Source organism: Homo sapiens, chromosome 3 (assembly GCF_000001405.40).
Source record: "Homo sapiens chromosome 3, GRCh38.p14 Primary Assembly".
NCBI classification, from domain to species: Eukaryota; Metazoa; Chordata; class Mammalia; order Primates; family Hominidae; genus Homo; species Homo sapiens.
In genome coordinates, this window is record NC_000003.12 from 48,285,712 (window position 1) to 48,306,774 (window position 21,063).

The window sequence follows — 21,063 nt, forward strand, 5'->3', positions numbered from 1 at the left end:
TTGGTAGAGACAGGGTCTCACTATGTTGCCCAGGTTGATCTCAAACTGCTGGCCTTGAGTGTCCTTTTGCTTCAGCCTCCCAAAGCACTGGGTTTACAGGTGTGAGCCATGGCACCCAGCCTAAAGAACCTATTTTATTAGGGGATTTGATGACTCAAAGTCTCCCTTTCTGCTAGTCTAATATTACAGTCAATCTTATAAAACAGCAATGGTATGCTTTGGCTATGGTGCTGTGGCTGTGGTCTACACTCCCTGGGGTCGGGGGTAAGAGTAACAAAATACTCTACTGGGGTGCTGCTGTAACAAAATACTTGAAACTGGATAATTTACAAAGAACAACAGAAGTTTCTTTCTTTTCTGGGTTTTTTTTTTCCCCTTTTTTTTTTTTTTTTTTAAAGACAGGGTCTTGCTATGTTACTCAGGCTGGCCTTAAACTCCAGGCAGGGCTCAAGCAATCATCTTGTCTCAGCCTCCTGAGCAGCTGGGACTCCAGGCATGTGCCACTGTACCAAGCAGAAATTTCTTTTTTCACAGTTCTGGAACTGGGAAGTCCAAGATCAGGGCTCCTGCCCCTGGACCTGAACCTGGATCTTTGGCTTTGATGTTGGACCTTGTGTGTGGATATGAACTTTGAACCTGCACCTTGGAACTAAACCTCTGACTTGGATTTGTTCTGCATTTTGGAACTCACCTTAGACCTGAACCTTGGTCATGAAATGGATCTGAATCATTCTTGGGTCTTGGACATGGGACTTGGACCTCCATGTGTATCTTGGACTTAGGACCATGATCTGGACCTTGTAAATTGACTTGGACTTTGGACTTGGACCTTGGACTAGAATTTGTCCCTGGCTGTGGACCTCGTCTTTGGATCTGGATCTGGACCTGGTCTTGGATGTTGGACCTAGATGCAGGCCTTGATTTGATTTGGAACATGGACTTGGTCCTTGCACATGGCCCAACACCCGCGTCTTTGGAACTGCATCTTGGACCTTGGATCTGAAATTTAAACAGGGAGGTGACCTTCATTTCTTGTATTTGACTTTATAACTGGAAATTCAATCTCTACCTGGATCTTGGACCTGGATCTCAGACCTTGCTTTTTATTGGGCCATGGATCTTATACCTTAAACATGGAAATTGTACCTGGATTTGGACCTTTGACTTGGACCTGGATCTGGACCCAGGGATAAGATTTGGACCTCACTTGCAAATTTTGGTAATGAAATTTTCCTTTGCTCCTGTAGTCCTTGGACCTAGGCTTCAGTCATGGATTTAGACCTTAGACGTGACCATCAGACCTTAGAGTTGAACCTAAATTCCTGGTCCCCAGTCCTATAACTCAGAATGATTATGCATAACCTTGGACTTAGAACTTAGATCTGGATCTTAGAGCTGATACTTGACCTGGTACTGGATATTTAACCTTGGACTTCAGACATGGATTTAATCTGGGCCTTGGGATGATTTAAGATCTAGAAGTGGACCTAGAATTAGACCTTGGACTTATGTGCCTGAGCCTGGACTTTGGAAGTGGACTTTGGGCCTTGTAACTCAACCTTGAATATGAGCCTCAAATGTAGACTGTGGGCCAGGCACAGTGGCTCACATCTGTAATCCCAGCACTTTGGGTGGAAAGCTGAGGCAGGTGGATCACTTGAGCTCAGGAATTCAAGACCAGCCTGGGGAACATGGTGAAAACCTGGCTCTACAAAAAATAAAAAAATTAGCCAGGCTTGGTGGCACACACCTGTAGTTCCAGGTACTCAGGAGGCTGAGGCAGGAGGTTCACTTGGGCCCAGGAGGCAGAGGTTGCAGTGAGCTGAGCTTGTACAGCTGCACTCCAGCCTGGAGGACAGAGTGAGACTCTGTCTCAAGAAAAAAAAATAAAAAATAAATAAATAAATAAGAGAAAATACAGCATGTTTGTAAGATCTGTCTCTTGATGATCCAAGAAAGACAGGAAATAATTGCCAGAGTAATGCCTTGAGTAGGTGGGAGGAGACAGGATCTTCTGCACAGATTGGGGTAACTTTAAATAGGAACTTGGAAGGTTCGCCCATTGTTCATCCTAACAAGAAGGAAGCAGAGTACATAAGCACAGATGGAGATAGGTGGCTCAATGTGGTCTTGGGAGTCTGAAAAGTTTCTCTTCTGGCTGTTTTTGTTACTTTCCTGAAATAGGAAGTAAGGTTAACAGCTGGAGAGTGAGGAAGGGGGAGGAGGTGTTGGAGGTTTGAAGAGAAAGGAGAATACATGAATATATCTAGGAAAGTGGAGGAGTGGACGGTCTAGGAAGACGTGGGAGACATAAGACAGGGATGTAGAAGGGACTATGACTTCAGAGTAAGATTTACTGATTTAAGATTTTCTTTTTTAGCTTAAAAGTAAGAGCGTGGTGGCTCATGCCTGTAATCCTAGCACTTTGAGAGGCCGAGATGGGTGAATCGCTTGAGCCCAGGAGTTCAAGACTAGCCTGGGCAACATGGCAAAACTCCATCTCTACAAAAAATACAAAAATTCGTCCAGCATAATGGAGCATGCCCGTAGTCCCAGCTACTTGGGAGGCTCAGGTGGGAAGATCACCTGAGTCGGGGAGGTGGCAGTGAGCAGAGATCACGCCACTGCATTCCAGCCTAGGTGACAGAGTGAGACCCTGTCTCAAAAAAAAAAAAGAAAAAAAAAATTTAGAGATGGAAGAATTCTAATAATGTCAAAGATTAGAGTATGGATACTATTCATTACCATTAATAAAGGAGCAATATGCCTGGTACTGTGCTGGGTGACAGGGATACAGGCATGAAGAAAACAGCCTTTGCACTAATGAAATTTGTTTTCCCTTCAGAAAGCCAGATTTTAAACAAATAAGCTATGAGGCTGGTCTGAAGGTAGTGAGTTATCTCAATTGTTCACAGTTAGTTACAGGTTGAATGCCTTGTTCTACTCTTTCCCCTTTCTCACTGCTGCACTTGACCAGTCTTTAAAAAAAAAAAGATAGGAATCATGACTTAATTACAATGGTGGTACATGTTATGAAGAGCATGATACACTGCATGACAGAGTAAATTACTAGGAGAACCTAGTTGGACTGCAGGATGTAGGAAGGCCTTCCTATGGAAAGTACATTTAAGTTGGGACCTAAAGGAGAAACAGGAATGAGCCAGGCAGGAAGTAGGGGGACCTCATGGGTAAAGACCCTAGCAGGTAGAGAACGTCCATCAAGCTCCAGCACTAGGAGTGGGTGAGTGGTGAGAGAGGACACTGAAGAGTGCTGTGGGGGAGTGCCGGTCTTAGTATTCAGTGTGCAGTGGAGAGTTTTAAATGGGGGTGACCTGAAGAGATGGACATTTAAAAATAATTTTTTTTTTTTGAGACGGAGTTTCGCTCTTGTTGCCCAGGCTGGAGTGCAATGGCGTGATCTCAGCTCACCGCAACCTCCGTCTCCTGGGTTCAAGCAATTCTTCTGCCTCAGCCTCCCGAGTAGCTGGGATTATAGGCAGGCACCACCATGCCCAGTTAATTTTGTATTTTTAGTAGAGACAGGGTTTCACCATGTTGGTCAGGCTGGTCTCGAACTCCCGACCTCAGGTGATCTGCCCTGCCCACCTCGGCCTCCCAAAGTGCCAGGATTACAGGCGTGAGCCACCACACCCCGCCTAAAAAATAACACTTTTTTAATGTGTGTGGAAAGGTGGATTGAGGGAGGGGGTGGATGGTGAGAGTGGAAGAGACAAGTTGGGAGGCTTGAGATCCAGTAAGAGATGAAGGTCGCTTGGGCCAGGATGGAGCAGTGGATGTGGAGAGCCGCAGACACACCGGAGAATGATTTCAGACATGGGTGCAAGACTCGGTGTTTCCTTCCCTCTTTTCTCCTGGCTGCTCCTCCCTTACAGCTCCCGCCTGAGCTCACAGATGCCCCACACCTAGTCTTCATCTGAAAACCTGTGAGAAAAGATGATTAAGTCTAAATTTTGGAGTGGCTACACAGCAATACTGTAGCAATAGGTAACTAGTGTGCACAGCTAAAGATGGGGGAAAACCAACACATGTTCACGATTGTTCAATGTGAAATTAATTGTAATAGGAAAATTTTGGAGACCATTTAAATGCCTGTTATTGAACAGATTATGGTATGCCCACACATGGAATATTACACAGCTGTAAAACACAGAATAAAGAAGACTGTTATGAGCTTATATGAAGTGACTTCTAGATTATATTTCAGGGTTAAAGAAAAGACAAAATGCAAAGGAGTATCATGAAGTATGTTATCTTTTGTGTGAGGAGGAAGGGGAAACACATTTTTTCAAAAAGAAATGTAAGAAGAGTAAACCAGAAACAAATACAATGGTTTTTTGTTTTTTTTTTTGAGACGGGATCTCGCTGTCACCCAGGCTGGAGAGCAGTGGCACAATCACGGCTCACTGCAGCCTCCACCTTCCAGGCTCAAGTGATCCTCCTGCCTCAGCCTCCCAAGTAGCTGGGACTACAGGCATGTGCCACCATTTTTATTTTATTTTAAATTTTATTTTATTAAAATTAAAAAAAAATTTTTTTTTACCTGAACTACACAGATGTAAAAAATTATTTTATTTTTCTAAAAAGATGCAACAAATTATTTCTTACTGTAAATGACAATTTATAATTGTATAAATTTATGGGTTACAAAATGATGTCATAATCTGTGGATACAATGTAGAATAATTAAATCGAGCTAGTTAACATATCCATCACTTCAAATACTTAGCATTTTGTAGTGAGAACATTTGAAATTTACTCTTAGCAATTTTGAAATGTATAATACTCTACTAACTATATTCACCACACTGTGCAACAGACCTCAAAAAAATTATAAAATGGATTCTTCCTGTCGGAGATTTTGTACCCTTTGACCATCATTTAAATTTTTTAAATGCAACAAAATATCAATTTCAAAACAGCATGAAAAATTGAGTGTGTTTAACCATATTCAGCTGATAACAGGGCAAATGAATTGAACAGAATAACATTCTATTCCATGTTTAATGAACTGGCAACAAGAGAAAGTTGGTGGAAGAAAGGCAGAGGAACTTGGGCAAGAATTAGAACCAAGGGGCTCCATAATCATCTGACATCAGTTCCCATGTTGTATCTATGGTTAGAAATGTACATGATAGGAACTCCAAGAATCTTAGGATTCTTCTTTTAAGGTCCCAGGTTCGTGGCTACAACACTTATGCTGAGTAACTCTCTGTGCTAAGCAGTCATCTGCATAGATTCCTTCCTGTGCGTGGTAATTTGGTAATCGTTCAAATTTTGGATCCTTGGCAATCCTTTAAGCCACTTGATACTTCGCCCCAATTTCTCAGTTTCAGCCATTACACAGTTACACAAGGGATACACTTGGCATATAGACAGTTCATCACTGATTGCAGTATGTCTTATTTGGCTCCAATAGAAAAGTTGGTAACGCTGGAATCAAACAGGACGTGGTAAGGTGGACCCAGCTGTGTAATATATTGGAAAAATAAGCAGGAAGGGTATTGGGGAACTTTTCTTTCCTTCAGCATGCTGGGATATTTCTTTTCTTTTTAGGTCTTTATCATTTTCTTTAAGCCTGTGATATCAGAGACTAAGCATTCGCTTCATGGTCGCAGACTTCCTTGTTTTCTTTTGCTCTCACATGCTCATGTCATACTCTTATTTTTTTAAGACAGGGTCTCACTGTCACCCAGGCTGGAGTGTGTGCAGTGGCTCAAACTGCACTGAAGCCTCAATCTCTCAGGCTCAAGCAATCCTCCCACTTTGCCTCCCAAGTAGCTGGGACACAAGCATGCACCACCACACCCAGCTAAGTTTTTTATTTTTATTTTTGTAGACACAGGGGTCTCACCATGTTGCCCAGGCTGGTCTCAAACTCCTGGACTTAAGTGATCCTCCCCCCTCAGCCTCCCAAAGTGTTGGAATTACAGGAATGAGCCACTGCGCCCAGCCTATTTTTAGTTTTTATAGAGACAGGGTCTCACTATGTTGCCCAGGCTACAATTGGTTTGCTATAGGCAATAGTTTGTTTTGTTTTGTTTCATTTTGTTTTGAGACGGAGTCTCGCTCTTTCACCCAGGCTGGAGTGCAGTAGCACTACCTTGGCTCACTGCAAACTCTACCTCCTGGGTTCAAGCAATTCTTCTGCCTCAGCCTCCCAAGTAGCTGGGACTACAGGTGCGTGCCACCACACCCAGCTAATTTTTGTATTTTTAGAAGAGACGGGGTTTCACCGTGTTAGCCAGGATGGTCTCGATCTCCTGACCTTGTGATCCGCCCGCCTTGGCCTCCCAAAGTGCTGGGATTACAGGCGTGAGCCACCATACCTGGCCATCTAAACTTAATTATCTCCCAAATGTCCCATTTCCAAATATCATCACATTGGGGGTTAGGGCTTCAACATATGAATTTTAGGGGGATATAATTCAGTCCATAGCACTTTGTCTTTTGGTGGACCTGGGTGCTGGGTGTGGTCATTACTATTGGAGTGTCATTGCTCTCACATCAGTGCAAAGGACTATACATACAAAAACATATTTACATCTATCTCTATAGACTGAAATACACGAGTTCACACTGATATCTCCAATTCGACACCACAGGGTTTATTCTAGTTTTCTCCCTTTCCATATTTGTGGGAGCCAGGTTTTTATGAGACAATTTTATTGGGAGATAATTCTGTGTCTCTTGTGGGTGTCTTAATTGTCAGATTTTGTACGCTTTGACCACCATTTAAATTTTTTAAATGCAACAAAATATCAATTTTGTTGATACTTTGTGGGCTGAGATGTTGACAGATTTTGTTCCAGACTATTTCAAGGATTTTTTTTTTCTTGAGATGGAGTTTCACTCTTGTTGCCCAGGCTGGAGTGCAACGGCGTGATCTTGGCTCACCACAACCTCCGCCTCCTGGGTTCAAGCGATTCTCCTGCCTCAGCCTCCCGAGTAGCTGGATTACAGGCTCGCGCCACCACGCTTGGCTAATTTTTGTATTTTTAGTAGAGACGGGATTTCTCCATGTTGGTCAGGCTGGTCTGGAACTCCCAACCTCAGGTGATCCGCCTGCCTCAGCCTCCCAAAGTGCTAGGATTATAGGTGTGCCACTGTGCCCAGGTATTTCAAGGATTTTTGTACAGCAAATGGCCTTAGAAGACAGAGATAGTATCTCCCTAAGATTGTGGTTCCTTAGCCGTCATGCAAACCTGCAGTGTGTAACACTTTCCTGGGCCTGCCAGTATTGCCCTGTGGGACTTGGAGGGCAAGGGAGACCAAGGCTAACACACTGCCTGCTGTGCCCTGAGCAGTAGTCTCTGCCCAAGTAATCCTGTGTTTTCTGCCAGCATTCATGAAGCTGGCTCCCTAACACAAGAAGTTGTTGAAAGTTCTACTCAGCTTCTTAGCTGCCTCTTCCAGAATCAGCAGGTGCCCTTATGGGAAAAGTAGCTCTAAGTCCCAGGCTCACTTCTCTTGAGTTTCCTTCGTGTCCTGAATTTTGGTTCTATATTGCCAGCTGATGCTTTCAGATAGATGCTGTTTATATTTTGCACAGCTTTTCTAGTTGTTCTCTATGTTCAGTGGGTCCAAATTTCCTGGTCTACCATTAGTGAAAGTGGCAGATGGTGAAGGCAATTTTCAACTCAAAGGTTTCAAGGCCACCAAAAAGAGAAATACACATGTACTGAGAAAGAAAAGTCAAGACCTGTAAGAAGTGTCACAGGTTTCTTAGGTCACACATACAAAACTGACCCATATATTCCTGAAAATGAACAGACTGTCTAGTGCCCCAGACCCCTGCTATGGATACCCTATTTGACCTTCAGGCTTAGTTCCAAAGCCAGCTATATCTTTTATAAAAGACTTTCCACCCTATCTCCTTCACCTCCTCACCCAGCCAAAGGAAACCTTCTTTCCTCTGTTCTCCCACAGGACTTTATACCTCTGTTAGGGCACTTCTCCATCTCTGCCACGTTATAGCTGGCTGACCACCCAAATTCATAATTAGCAACTTGAGGACCCAATCATGTCTTAACCATCTTTGCATTTTTCAGTATGTCTTGAATAGAGAATTTATGAAAATAAATGTTTGCATAAGCTGATAAAGGAGATGAAGAAAAACACACAGAAGGAGAAAACCAAGGGTGTGGGATCAGAAAATCCAAGAGAAGAGAGTGTTTCTGGAGAATGAAGCAATAACTGAATGCTGCTGAGAAGTCAGAATGATGAAGCCTGAAAAGTTTCCCCTAAATGTGGCAGCATAAAGGATTCAGGAGAACACTGACTTTTATTGAGGAAGACAGGTCAAATGTTGTTTGGAGTCACTGCATTTTTTAGGCAAGTCAATTAGACAAGCTTCTTTTTTTTTTTTTTTGAGACAGAATGTCGCCCAGGCTGGAGTGCAATGGCACGATCTCGGCTCACTGCACCCTCTGCCTCCCAGGTTCAAGCAATTCTCCTGCCTCAGCCTCTGAGTAGCTGGGATTACAGGCATGCACCACCATGCCTGGCTAATTGTTGTATTTTTAGTAGAGATGGGGTTTCACCATGTTGGTCAGGCTGGTCTCGAATTCCTGACCTTGTGATCCGCCTGCCTCGGCCTCCCAAAGTGCTGGGATTATAGGCGTGAGCCACCGTGCCCGGCCTGGCAAGCTTCTTCTTGAAGAAGGATGAACAGTTCTCAGCAAAGAGGAGTCATCATTCTTCTGAACCACCATAAACATTCCAGAGAAGAGGTAGATAGAAGGCTAGATCCTGGAGGATGTGCTGTGGTGAGCTAGGCCCTCAGGCAGGTGGTGGTGCCCAGCAGAAATGGCACTGTAAGCCAGGCTTCCCTGGTCCTAGGAGAATGTTTTAGACTAGATGTCTAGGAGAAGTCTGGGCACTACCACTGGTCTTCATAGACCTGCATCAGGCTGGTCCTAGGCCTCCTGTTCCAGCTACATAGTGGACACCTCCCTCTGGGCTATAGCACACAGGGCCACAGCGCAACTGGGGCTCTTCCTCCTCATACCAGCGCTGTTCACTGAAGTCAGGGAAGAAGGCTGCAATCTCTCTGCTGGCTGAAACCACAGAGTCTGTAAGGGGAGATAAGACAGAGAAGGGGTTCTCACATGGTAGAAGCAAGAGGCAGTCATAATCAGGTTCAGAATCCTGAGCCTCTACTCTGCCTGCCCCTTCAGTCCTGGGGCATGTAAAGAAAGTCCACAGGCCACATCTGCCAACATGGCTACAAAGACCAGAAACACAAATGGAAGAAAGCTCACTGGAGGGACCTGGCTGTCAACTCTACCACACAGCCTGCCCGCTAACCCCAAAATATCCTATGGCTATGGACAGGGGACTCACCCGAACCATGGGTGGTGTTGCGGGTGTCAGTGAGGCCGAAACTCCCACGGATAGAATCTGGGGCCACATGGCGTGCTCGGAACACTCTGGTGGGTCCCATGAGCGTCCTCCAGAGCTGGATGGCATCCTTGTGGGCAAGGATGTAGGCTCGGATTGGCCCGCTGTGAACAAAACAAGCACATGTAAAGAACCTGGCCATCTAGACTAGGAGGGTGTGCTGTGAGCAGGGCCTGAATAAAAACACACTCTACGTTCTGAGAGTTTTCCTGCCTTTCCAGCTGAGTACCAATGCTGCTTCAAATAGGTGATGCAGGGCCCCTGCTGGTGTACATCAAGCCTGCAGAGATCAGCAGGGTGGCTATGCAGCATTCAAGGGGACTCTTCTAACCACCAGAGGACAGGTGCCTAACAGGTCAGCATCGGCTCAGTGACAGCCCCAAACCCGTGTTTCTTCAGATTTGACATTGTTTACAACTTTATTTTTTGAGATGGAGTCTCACTCTGTTGCCCAGGCTAGAGTACAATGGTTCAATCTCGGCTCACTGCAACCTCTGCTTCCTGAATTCAAGTGATTCTCCTGCCTCAGCTTCCCGAGTAGTTGGGATTACAGGCACCCGCCACCATGCCTGGCTAATTTTTTGCTGTTGTTGTTGTTTTTGAGACGAAGTTTCACTCTTGTTGCCCAGGCTAGAGTGCAGTGCCACGATCTTGGCTCACTTCAACCTCCACCTCCCAGGTTCAAGCGATTCTCCTGCCTCAGCCTCCCGAGTAGCTGGGATTACAGGCACCTGCCACCATGCCGGGCTAATTTTTTGTATTTTTAGTAGAGACGGTGTTTCACCACATTGGCCAGGCTGGTCTCAAACTCCTGACCTCAAGTGATCCACCCGCCTCAGCCTCCCAAAGTGCTGGGATTACAGGCATGAGCCACCGTGCCTGGCCTGATTACAACTTTAAAGAATGGCAGTGAAATGAACAAATCCATTTAGGGGCAGGGGAGATTAGCCTCAGTGGATAAAGATGCTGGAACCAAATTTGAAGTACCTGGCCATGAACTCCACCAGCCTCTGATAGAAAAAACGCCCTGCAAAGAGAGAGGACCTTCATCAAGATACCTTCATCCTGGTGCCCAAGGCAACTTTCTGTACTTCTACCTCCTTACCTAGAATAATAAAAATTGTTTCAGAGAAAAGAACAAGGACCTTGGAGTCTGACAAACCTGGGTCTGAATCCAGGGTCTGCCACTTACAACCTGCGTAGTTTTGGGTAAATCATTAACCTCCTAAACTTGGCTTCCTAATCTGCGTACGAGGGATATAACAACACCTACTTTTTAGGGTTGTTGGGAAAATTGAATGAAAAAATGAGCATTAGGACAATGTCTGATGGTAAACATTCATTCACTATATGTTAACTACTGATATTATCAAGACATAAAACTAAGTTTCTGGTTGGGACTACAAGGTAGAACCCTCCTTGGGAAAAGATGGATAATCATGAAAAGTGTGTGTTTTAAACCAAGATTTTAGAAAACTGGCTGCAACTGTACACGGTTGGTAGGTCAGAGAGCCTGCCATTGTGTTCCAGGTAAAATCTCTCTTATGGCCTCTTGGGATTGAGGCACCTTCCATTCAGAGGACTACTGATCCTACCTTCATGCTCTCGGTAAAACCTCTGGCAATCTTCCTTTCTCCACAGTAGTTCTCTCATTCGTACAATCAGGAACTTGTTGCTTAGAATCTGCTGATGAACAGCCTGAATAAAGACCATCCCCAAAATAAAAATCAATCAGGAGACTGAAACTGACCAAAAGAAACCATGAGGACCACTTGTTGCTCAGGACCTGAGGGTTTGTCCCATTGAAGGGTGAGAAGACGAGGTGGGGTGAGGTGAAGACCTTCAGTCACACAGCCAGAGTGTGCACCTTGGGTGAAAGGGGATAGGATGCGCTGTCTCTGCTCTTCCATACCTATAACCCCTTGAGCTCAAGACCACAGGACCCACCACTCAGACCACCATAAAAGTCTTGTTAGTGGTCCTGCCTTGGGTTTCTCTCACTCCCTCCAAACCATCACACTTGATAGATGAGAAACTCTATAATTGACACGTCACACTCTGGTCAGAAGGTGTTAAGTAGTTCCTGTTATTCAAGGAATGAAGTACAACCACTTTAGCCCAGTGCTCAAGGTTATACTTTCCTTACTCTGTACCAATTCTCTAGTCTCACCATCGCAGGCTGCCTGCGGCCCTCAGACCCATCACATGCATTCCTGCCTCAGCGTCTCCCTTCTGTGCAACACCTGTCCTTCTCCTGGCACTAACCAAAGTTTACCATTCCTTTGAGGCCCAGCTGAGTCCTGCCACTTCCAGGCCCCCACTCCTGACTGCTTAGATCTTCCTCTGCACCATAGTGGGCTTACTTAGCAGTGCTACTCAGTTAGTATTTATCAAACTATGGTACACAGAATGTGAAAATGACCCCGAGCCCCACCAAGATTTCCCACCCTAATCTCCAGGACTGTGAATATGATGCAATATGATTATGTTACATTACATAACAACAGGGATTTTGAGGGAAATTAAGGTTACTAATCAGTTGATTCTGCTGTAATCAAAAGGGAGATTATCCAGGTGGGCCTAATTAATCACATGAGCCCTGTGGGATTAGAATTGTGAAGGCTTCTCAATGCCAGGCATTTTCTCTGGCTAGAGGCTGAAGAAGTCAGAGAGATTCAAAGCATGAGAAGGATTCAATGCACTGCAGCTGTCTTGAAGACAGACTGGGCCATGTGATGAGGGATGTGAGTGGTATCTAGAAACTGAAAGGAGTTCCTGCCTGAAGGCCAACAGGGAAATGGCAGCCTCAGTCCTACCATCATAAGAAATCAACTCTGCCAACAACCTGAATGAGTCTGGAAGTGAATTCTTCCCCCAGACCCTCCAGATAAGGACCTGGTCAGCCAATACCTTGACTTTGGCCTTGTGAGACCTTAAGCAAACAACTCAGCCAAGCCTACTGGACCTCTAAACTACTGAACTGTGAAATAACAAATAAGTGTTGTTTTAAGCTCTCAAGTCTGGAGTAATGTGTTATGTAGCAATAGAAACTAACAAATACACATTGTCTTGATATTCGGTTCTATTATTGCTTTGGGTCCTTTCTTACATTTTAGGTCTGCCTCAAGTCTCCAATGGATTCTTAGTCTCCTTAGGTCAGAGTTCATGGCTTCTAGCTTTGCCTCCACAGCATCCAGCACAAGTCTGTGTTGTCAGTCACCATAAATGGCCCAATGGCACCTGAAGCAGTAGCAATTCCCAGGGCATGCGGTAGAGACTTAGGATTCATTCTTACCTCCAGAATCAGTGGATGGGCGACTGCGTCAGGCTTGATCAGGGCTAGAGTGAGCTGGAGAGCCTGAGGGCTTCGCAAGATTGAGGCCATCTCACTCCTGCCATTAGAGAGCTGTATTAGGAACCCTTCAGGACGGCACTCCCAGCCTTCCCTACATTGGAGCCACGCAGCCTTGCAAGCCAACGAGTGCTCTCACTCCTGACACTCATAAAGAACCTGACAGTTTCATCTTAAGGCCATATACATTATTTTAATTGCCCATTTGGGCTCATGGGATCAAGGGAGGGGAGTTGTAGAGGGAGCATTCAAGTTCCCCCGTGGAGTATACAATCTAGTGCAACTGTAAGCCTATGAGGGAATTACCCATTAAAAGAAACTCAAGTTTAAATACTACCTGTCTCTGCCAATATCCCTTCCTAACTTCCTTTTGTATTTTACAGAGGATTTACAATTTATACTCCTAAACAGCCTATCCACAAGGCCTATTCATAATGATGAATTCATCTCTTAAAATCTTCCATCCCATAGTGCTCTCCTATCAAATCTAGAATTGGAAGATTGATGGACAGCAACTGAGGTGCTACCAGGATACCAAAAAGTCTGCTGGATAAACACCATCTCTATTCTAATATTATGGAGAGATCAGGATCTCCTGTGCCCAAATCAAACCTGTTAATACACTCAGCTGTCCTCAGTGGTAACACTGAGGTCAACACACAACTCCAACATCAGGAACAAGTCATAACCATTTTGCATCTGAAACAGTGCCTGACACAAAGGTGCTTGATCAATTTTATTTACTAAATAAACCTATATAGTCTTATTTCTATTCATCTTTGTATTCCTAATGTCTAGCATGGTGTAAGAGCTCAATATTGTAGAAATGATATAATGGACATAAAAGCATTTTATAAACTGGACTAAGGGAATTTTGAGGTCTTTTCCAATTGTGAAATCCGAGTTATACGTGAGAAATTTATCACCTCTGCAGGAGTAAAGACTTTGTCTCAAAATCTTATCTCAATATTATCTCTCATTTGGCCATGTGTAGTGGCTCACACCTGTAATATCAGTACTTGAGGCCAGGAGTTTGACCTGGGCAACAAAGCAAGACCCTGACTCTACTACATATGTGTGTATGTGTGTGTGTGTATATATATATAATATATATGTGTGTATATATATAAAATCATTTGTCGACAAATACAGAGAAGGCTTCCATTAACATAGGCAGGGACAGAGTCTAGACAACATTCTCATTTATCTTATCCTAAAAACTGTCAATCATGTTAAAGGTGGTATTAGAATCTGGCCCAAGCAAAGAAACTGCCATGGTCGCTCCTATTCATGTCCTTTCTACAGCTTTCAACCTGATTTTCCACTCAAACCATAAAGCCACACCCAATCTAACCAGTACAAGATCAGCTAACCCACTCTCCCTAATGCCACAGGTGGTAACACGTCATTTTCAGCAACTGTCTACAGAGACATCCATGACACCTCCCCTCCCTCACTCTTCATATCCACACGATCACCAACTTCTGGCAATTTTCCCTACCTAATATATCTCAAAACCCATACCATTCTCCCATCCTCAACTGCTACCACCATAACTCTAAGACATCATCATTCCCCTCTGGACATCTTGACAGCCTCCTCTTTGGTCTCCCAGTTTCTGTCCTGCCAACCTCTACAATCTCCACACAGCAGCCAAAGTGAACCACACATGAAAATCTAATCATATGGTTCCCCTCCTTAACCCTTTAAAGGGCACCCTGTTCTTAGAATAAAAACCAAAATCCTTATCACGGCCTCCCAGGCTCTGCATGATCTTGTGGTTCCCCACGTACCTCTCTAGCCTCATCTGGAACCCCACACTCCTTAAGTTTCTCTAGCTCCAACCTCATGGGCCTTTCAGTTTTGAAAGAATTTCTGGCTTGACAGCCTTTGTGTGAGTAGTTTTCGCAGTCCTGAATGTGCTTTCTCTGGTTGCCTCCTGCCCACCTTAGTGATCTTAGCTCACTTCCCGTTACACTTTCTCACAGCTCCTTGCAAGTTCCCTTCAGTTCCGTCTTCACCACCAGAAGGTGTAAGCAGTACCTAGCACACAGCTGGCTCTTAACAGTATCTGAATGAACCAACGAATGCACCTCATCCAGCCATTCCAAGGCCAGGCTGCTAGGGGTTCTCGTGGCAAGAACACGCGGCCTGTAGGGAGGACATGGTTCCTTTACTAACGCAGCTAAGTTGTGGCTGTCTTGACTCTTGGTTTACAACAAACTGACAAGTCGAGAATCCTGTTAGACTTAAAGGTGACTCCATGAGAATTAAAAATTTTAGGCAGGGCGCGGTGTCTCACGCCTGTAATCCCAGCACTTTGAAAGACCGAGGCGGGCGGATCACGAAGTCAGGAGATCAAGACCATCCTGGCCAACATGGTGAAAGCCCGTCTCTACTAAAAATACAAAAAAATTAGCCAGGCATAACGGCGCGCGCCTACAGTCACAGCTACTAGGGAGGCTGAGGCAGGAGCATTACTTGAACTCTGGAGGCGGAGGCTGCAGTGAGCCGAGATCGCGCCACTGCACTCCAGCCTGGCGACAGAACCAGACTCCGTCTCCAAAACAAAAAAAAAGTAAAGCTGTCGGTACACTGCCACCCCAGCACTCGAGGGGGCCACCACTCGCTTCCTGGAGGGCGGCGGCCCAGCCCTGGTCCACCCACGCGCGGCCGGGACCTGCGCCCCTACCCCCGTGGCCACGCCCTCCAGCCCCCCGGGCTCACGGCCTCAACTCTCGACCCAGCCCCCTACTTCTCTAGGCCTGCAACCGCGCAGCCCTCACCCCTCGTACCCGGGGCCTAAGCCCACCCCAGATTCTGGGTCATTCGGAGCCCCAGTGCAGCAGAAGTCCGGCTGCGGGTTCACCTTGTCCTCCGGCACAGGGCCCGGCCACCAGGCGCCACGCTGGATAGCCTGCGGCCCTCGCAGGGTCCTTCAGGCGCTCCCTGGGCAGCCCTGCTCGGGGTCCTAGTCCGGTTGCGCCGCGGCGTGAGGTGAGGTGTGAGTTGCCCTGGAGGGTGGCGGGTTTTCCAGGCGCATGCATTTGCCGCGGACGGGACGAGAGGATGAAGCCGTTCTGGGCGCCGGAACTCGCTTGTGGGAACCGCCCCTCGGAAGCCGGCCTGGGCGCCCTCGGAAGCCGGCCTGGGCGCCCTCGGCGGGAGGGAGTGCTGGGCCGGGTGCTGGCGCAGCGCTACGCAGGGTGGCGGAACCCAGAGGACCGGACGGGCTCGTTCAGGGTGGCGGCCCGGCGGGGGCGATGCCCGCCAGCAGAGACACCGATGGAAACCTTGCCCAGTTATTTTCTTTGCCCAGGGTAGTTCCTGGAACATGGTTGATGCCCAGTATTTGTCAAAAGTACGCGGAGGGCAAAGAACTTAAGCGCTCGATAGCGAAGGCACAGGCCCTTCAAAGTCTTTTGAGCTCTGAGCGATACATTAGCATGAAGGATCGTAGCTAATATGGGGGTTGATGAAGGAGGATCCTTGGCTGGAGCCCAGGTGTGCATAGGGCATGAGGAAAGCAAGTCATAACGGCCTTTCACGTGTCATTAGGAATCTGGGCAGCAGGGTGTGGTTTGGGTTACTCTGGAGTCTATTGACGCAGCCCAGGGTGAGGAGATGAGAACTGGGGGTATTCCTGGTGTGTACTGTGATGTATGGAGAGGATGGGGACAGGGAGAATGGATCGGGGGTCAGCTGTGGCAGGTGACCAGAAACTTGGTGACAGGTTGAATAAAGATGGTTAAAAAAAAAAAAAGTGTTTTGGTTTCTTGGGTTTTTTTTTTTTTTTTTGAGGGAAATCACTGAGAATGAGAAGAATGAAAATAAACGATAACTGTCATCAATGTAAAGACTTACTTGCACATTTAACTGACTTCGGTGTCTGCCTACACAGGTGTTGCCCTCTTGGAAGGTTTATCCCCAACTCATGGCTTCTGTCCCTGCAGCAATAAGAAGCCACTTCCCAATAGTTTCCTGATACCCAGTCACCTTTGGGAACTTACGAGGAAAGTTTTTCCAGTCTCTCCGCAGACCCTTGCATCTCTTCTCTTTTTGTTTAGACCCTTGACCACCACCCCCTATTCTAATCTTAACTCCTCTGCTACTCAGTTCCAATCCTAACCCAAGCCCTAGTCCCTAAATTTATAATCCTTTAATCCTAGACCTGGTCTCTAGATCCTGAGCCCTTGATGCTTATCTTCTAACCTCCTAATCCCAACCTCAAATCCCTAAACCTCAACCCATGAATTCTGACCTGATTCTCAAACCCCAGGCCCCCAACCCTGACTCCAAAAATGACAACCCATTACTTCTCCCTACACGGAATCACTGACGGAGTTGTAGCAACTGAATCTGCAGTAGGCCAAAGGACCCAGTGAGTTAGCCAGCAAACTACTCTAAATAAAAGATATGGTGGATAACAGCAAGCCTAAACAAATCTTCCTCAAAGATGAGCAACACAAGTCCCAGTCATTATGACAATACCTCTGTATCTCAACAAAGGGGCTTAAATCAGCAAGTCATCCCAGCCCCTGAAGGAAGAGAACAGTCCTTGTAAGTTGCAAAGCTCTCAGAGGACATGGGTGGCTCAGTAAAGCCCCTGTTCTAGGACACAGCAAAAGAAGCAACACAATAACCACCATGGCCCAGCAGATGAGGGCCACAGCCAGCATCGCCACCCCTGAGTCTGCCTTCCCAGTATGATCATCAGGACTTCAGAAGTCCCAGCAAACCAGTTAAACAGAAGACAAGAACCTTATGTGAAACCAAATTCCAGACAACTGATACAGATGGCATTCCAGAATCTGCAGCATTCCAGCATGCAACAAACTGCAATAAGTGACACAGATCTCTCCCCGACAGACACCTTATGAGAAGCAAGGGGAAAAAAATGCTCCAATAAAATGGAATCCCAGAATCTCTTCACCATCCCACCCTCAAACCCCTCCCCATTGCCAGGATGCTATGGCATAAGAGGCAAAGGACAATTCACAGTAGTAATAAAAAACATTTACTAAACACTTAGAAACAGTACTGACCAGGTGCCTCATTCAATGCTACGCTTATGTGAATTCTGTATGTATACTGTACTTAGATACAATTTTTTAAAAATTGATACTGCTAAAGCCTTGCTTAGATGGAAATTTGTAGCCTAAAATACATATATTAGAAAAGAAGAAAGACTGGAAATTCAGTAAGCCTCCATCTCAACAAGTTAGAAAAAGAGGAACAGAGCCTCAGAAACCTGTGACACATCATCAAGCGTATAATTTGTTATTATTATTTATTATTATTATTTTGAGACAGAGTCTCGCTCTGTTGCCCAGGCTGGAGTGCAATGGCGTGATCTTGGCTCACTGCAACCTCTGCCTCCCGGGTTCAAGCGATTCTCCTGCTTCAGCCTCCTAAGTAGCTGGGATTACAGGCACCTGCCACCACGCCTGGCTGATTTTTGTATTTTCAGTAGAGATGGGGTTTCACCATGCTGGCCAGGCTGGTCTTGAACTCCTGACCTCAGGCGATGGATCGCCCGCCTCGGCCTCCCAAAGTGCTGGAATTACAGGCATGAGCCACTGCGCCTGGCTGTTATTATTTATTATTAACTATTGCTTTATGCAATTGTCTTTTAAATCATATAGGAGAATAAAAGATTTACAAACAAAACCATATATTTATACTGTCTTTAACTGTGTAGTTACCTCTACCAGTTCTCTTTATTTCCCCTTGTGGATTTAAGTGTCCTTTCGCTTCAGCCTAAAGTATTCCCTTTAGTATTTCCTGCAGGGTGGATCTGCTGGAGACAAATTATTTCGGTTTTTATTAGTTTTGTTGGTCATCTTACTTTCTCCTTCATTTCTTTTTTTTTCTTTTCTTTTCTTTTTTTCTTTTTTTTTTTTTTTGAGATGGAGTTTTGCTCTTGTTGCCCACACTGGAGTGCAATGGTGCAATCTTGGCTCACTGCAACCTCTGCGTCCTAGGTTCAAGCAATTCTCCTGCCTCAGCCTCCCAAGCAGCTGGGATTACAGGCATGCAACACCACACTCAGCTAATTTTGTAATTATATTTAGTAGAGAGGGTTTCACTGTGTTGGCCAGGCTGGTCTTGAACTTCTGACCTCAGATGATCCACCCGCCTCAGCCTCCCTAAGTGCTGGGATTACAGGAGTGAGTCACCACTCTTCTTCATTTCTGAAGGATTTTCTTTATGGATATAGAATTCTTGGCTGATGTTTTTTTTCTGTTAGCACTTTGAATATGTTATCCTACTGCTTTCTGGCCTCCATGATTTCTGACGAGAAACTAGATGTTAATCTTACTGAGGGTCATCTGTACTTAATGATTTGCTTCTCTTTTGCTGCTTTCAAAATTCTCTCTTGGTCTTTGGCTTTTGACAGAGATTATGATGTGTATAGGTGTGGATTTCTTTGAGTTTGTCCTACTTGGAGTTTGCTGAGTTGCTTGGATGCATATGTTAACATTCTTTGAAAAATTTGAGATATTTTCAGTCATTATTTCTTCAAATATCTTTCTGCCCTTTTCTTTCTTCCTTCTCCTTCCTGGACTACCATTATCTTTATGTTGTTATGCTTAATTATATCCCAAAGGCTTCCAGGGCTCTGTTCCTTTTTCTTTCTGCTCCTCGCACTGGTTAATGTCAATCTTTCTTCAAGTTCACTTGTTCTTTCTTCTACCTGTTCAACTTTGCTATTGAGCCTCTCTAGTGAATTTGTCACTTTAGTTATTGTACTTATCACCTCAAGAAAGTTATATTTAAAAAAATAATTTCTTTATGATGTTCTCTACTTGTTCACACATCATTCTTATACTTTATTTCTTTAGACATAGTTTATCTCTTTGAAAAAATATGTATACATGTATGTATGTGTATTTTTTTTTAATAAGGCCTCGCTGTTACCCAGGCTAGAATGCAGTGGCACAATCATAGCTCATTGTAGCCTAAACCTCCTGGGCTCAAGCAATCAATCCTCCCACCTCAGCTTCCCAAGTAGCTAGGACTACAGGCACGTGCCAGCATGCCTGATAATTTTTAATTTTTTTGTAGAGATAGGACAACTATGTTGTCCAGGCTGGTCTTGAATTCCTGGCCTCAAGTGATCCTTTCACCTCAGGCCCCCAAAGTGTTGGGATTATAGCCATGAGTCACCTGCCTGGGCTGATTTAAAGTCTTTGTCTAGTAAGTCCAACATTGGAGCTTTCTTGGCAACAATTCCTATTGACTGATCTTTTTTTCTTGTGTATGGGCCAGACTTTCTTGTTTCTTTGTATGTGTCACAATATTTCATTGAAAATTGGATGTTTTAAACAACATAATGTGGCAACTTTGGAAATCAGATTCTCCCCTTCCCCCAGGTTTGTTGTTGCTATTCATTTGTGTAGTGATTTTTATCAATTAATTTTTTAAAGTATGTATTCTTGGTAGTGTGTAACCATTGAAGACTCTGTTCCATTAGTTTAGTGGTCATCTAATGATTGGACATAGTGTTTTTAAATACTTGGAACCAATAAGTCTTTCTGCCTTTGCCGAGGTATTCTGTATGTATTGAGCCATGCCTTCAATGGTCAGGCAGGCAGTTTACAACTCTGCTTTAGACTTCATTTCTTGCTATTTAGAGCATTAAAGTCAGCCAAGGTGAGCACATAGGGCCTTCTAAAGATTCTCCTGGACATATTACAGACCTGCTCATGCTCTTGGTCTTCTAGATTCCTAGAAATATGCCAGAGCTTTTCAAAAGCTCCATGGACATTCTATTCTCAGCTTTTTCTTTTACTTTTTTTTTGTTGTTGTTATTTGTTTGTCCCAAATGTTATCACTGCTTAAGGTTGTTGCAAATTTTAAAAATTGAGGCTGTTTGTTTTTGACAGATGCCCCAGGGAAAAAGTTCTCAGTGAGAGAACTCTCAGTCAGGTTAAAACAAAACAAAAAACAAAACAAAAAGCCAAAAAGCAACCCAGCTGGAGGAGGTCTCTAGGGAACTGCCAGGCAAATCAAATAACGATCATTTTCTGGAAATGGTGTTTTTGGGGACCTCCAAACCTGTTCTTCCCCTTTGAATGTCTTTTCGCAGGCTGGTTTCCACCATGATTTCAAGGCTGGTTTAATTTAAGCCTACAGCAGAGTTGGGGTAGGGAGAATGGGTACAGGGCAAGTTAAAAACACCAGAAAGCTTGCTTTTCTTACTAAGATTTTAGATTTTTGTGGTCATTTGCTTACAATCTGTGTAAGAACAGAGGGAACCCATGGCATGAGTCAAGTAGTTTGGGGAT

The 21,063-nt window shown here is 44.9% G+C and overlaps 1 protein-coding gene and 1 pseudogene across 27 annotated transcripts, besides 3 other annotated features; both read right to left on the reverse strand.

Annotated features, from left to right (window-relative positions):
- Nucleotides 1-1,928: 1,928 nt before the first annotated feature.
- On the reverse strand, nt 1,929-15,656 carry NME6 (NME/NM23 nucleoside diphosphate kinase 6). Of its 26 annotated transcripts, none has more exons than XM_047447174.1 (7): nt 15,642-15,656; nt 14,866-14,923; nt 12,716-12,812; nt 11,016-11,118; nt 10,408-10,447; nt 9,364-9,524; nt 2,691-3,942 (listed from the first exon to the last, which is right to left on the reverse strand). In XM_047447174.1, exons 2-7 carry the CDS (start codon nt 14,868-14,870, stop codon nt 3,560-3,562), a joined length of 789 nt encoding a protein of 262 aa, XP_047303130.1. In that variant the 5' UTR covers nt 14,871-14,923; nt 15,642-15,656; the 3' UTR covers nt 2,691-3,559. The 26 variants fall into 26 exon arrangements, with proteins under 26 accessions (NP_001425589.1, NP_001425588.1, XP_047303130.1 ...); XM_024453299.2 differs by having other exon boundaries at nt 14,816-14,923; nt 15,585-15,656; XM_024453301.2 differs by having other exon boundaries at nt 15,568-15,656.
- On the reverse strand, nt 4,568-5,967 carry FCF1P2 (FCF1 pseudogene 2; annotated as a pseudogene). The gene has a single exon (NR_134638.1). The product of NR_134638.1 is annotated as an FCF1 pseudogene 2 (transcript).
- Nucleotides 15,359-15,558: a silencer, noted in NCBI's record as "silent region_14324". NCBI's record gives its function as "represses an Ori minimal core promoter by ATAC-STARR-seq in GM12878 lymphoblastoid cells {active_cell/tissue: GM12878}" and the evidence as "EXISTENCE:reporter gene assay evidence [ECO:0000049][PMID:35858748]".
- Nucleotides 15,639-15,768: an enhancer, noted in NCBI's record as "active region_19826". NCBI's record gives its function as "activates an Ori minimal core promoter by ATAC-STARR-seq in GM12878 lymphoblastoid cells {active_cell/tissue: GM12878}" and the evidence as "EXISTENCE:reporter gene assay evidence [ECO:0000049][PMID:35858748]".
- Nucleotides 15,859-16,078: a silencer, noted in NCBI's record as "silent region_14325". NCBI's record gives its function as "represses an Ori minimal core promoter by ATAC-STARR-seq in GM12878 lymphoblastoid cells {active_cell/tissue: GM12878}" and the evidence as "EXISTENCE:reporter gene assay evidence [ECO:0000049][PMID:35858748]".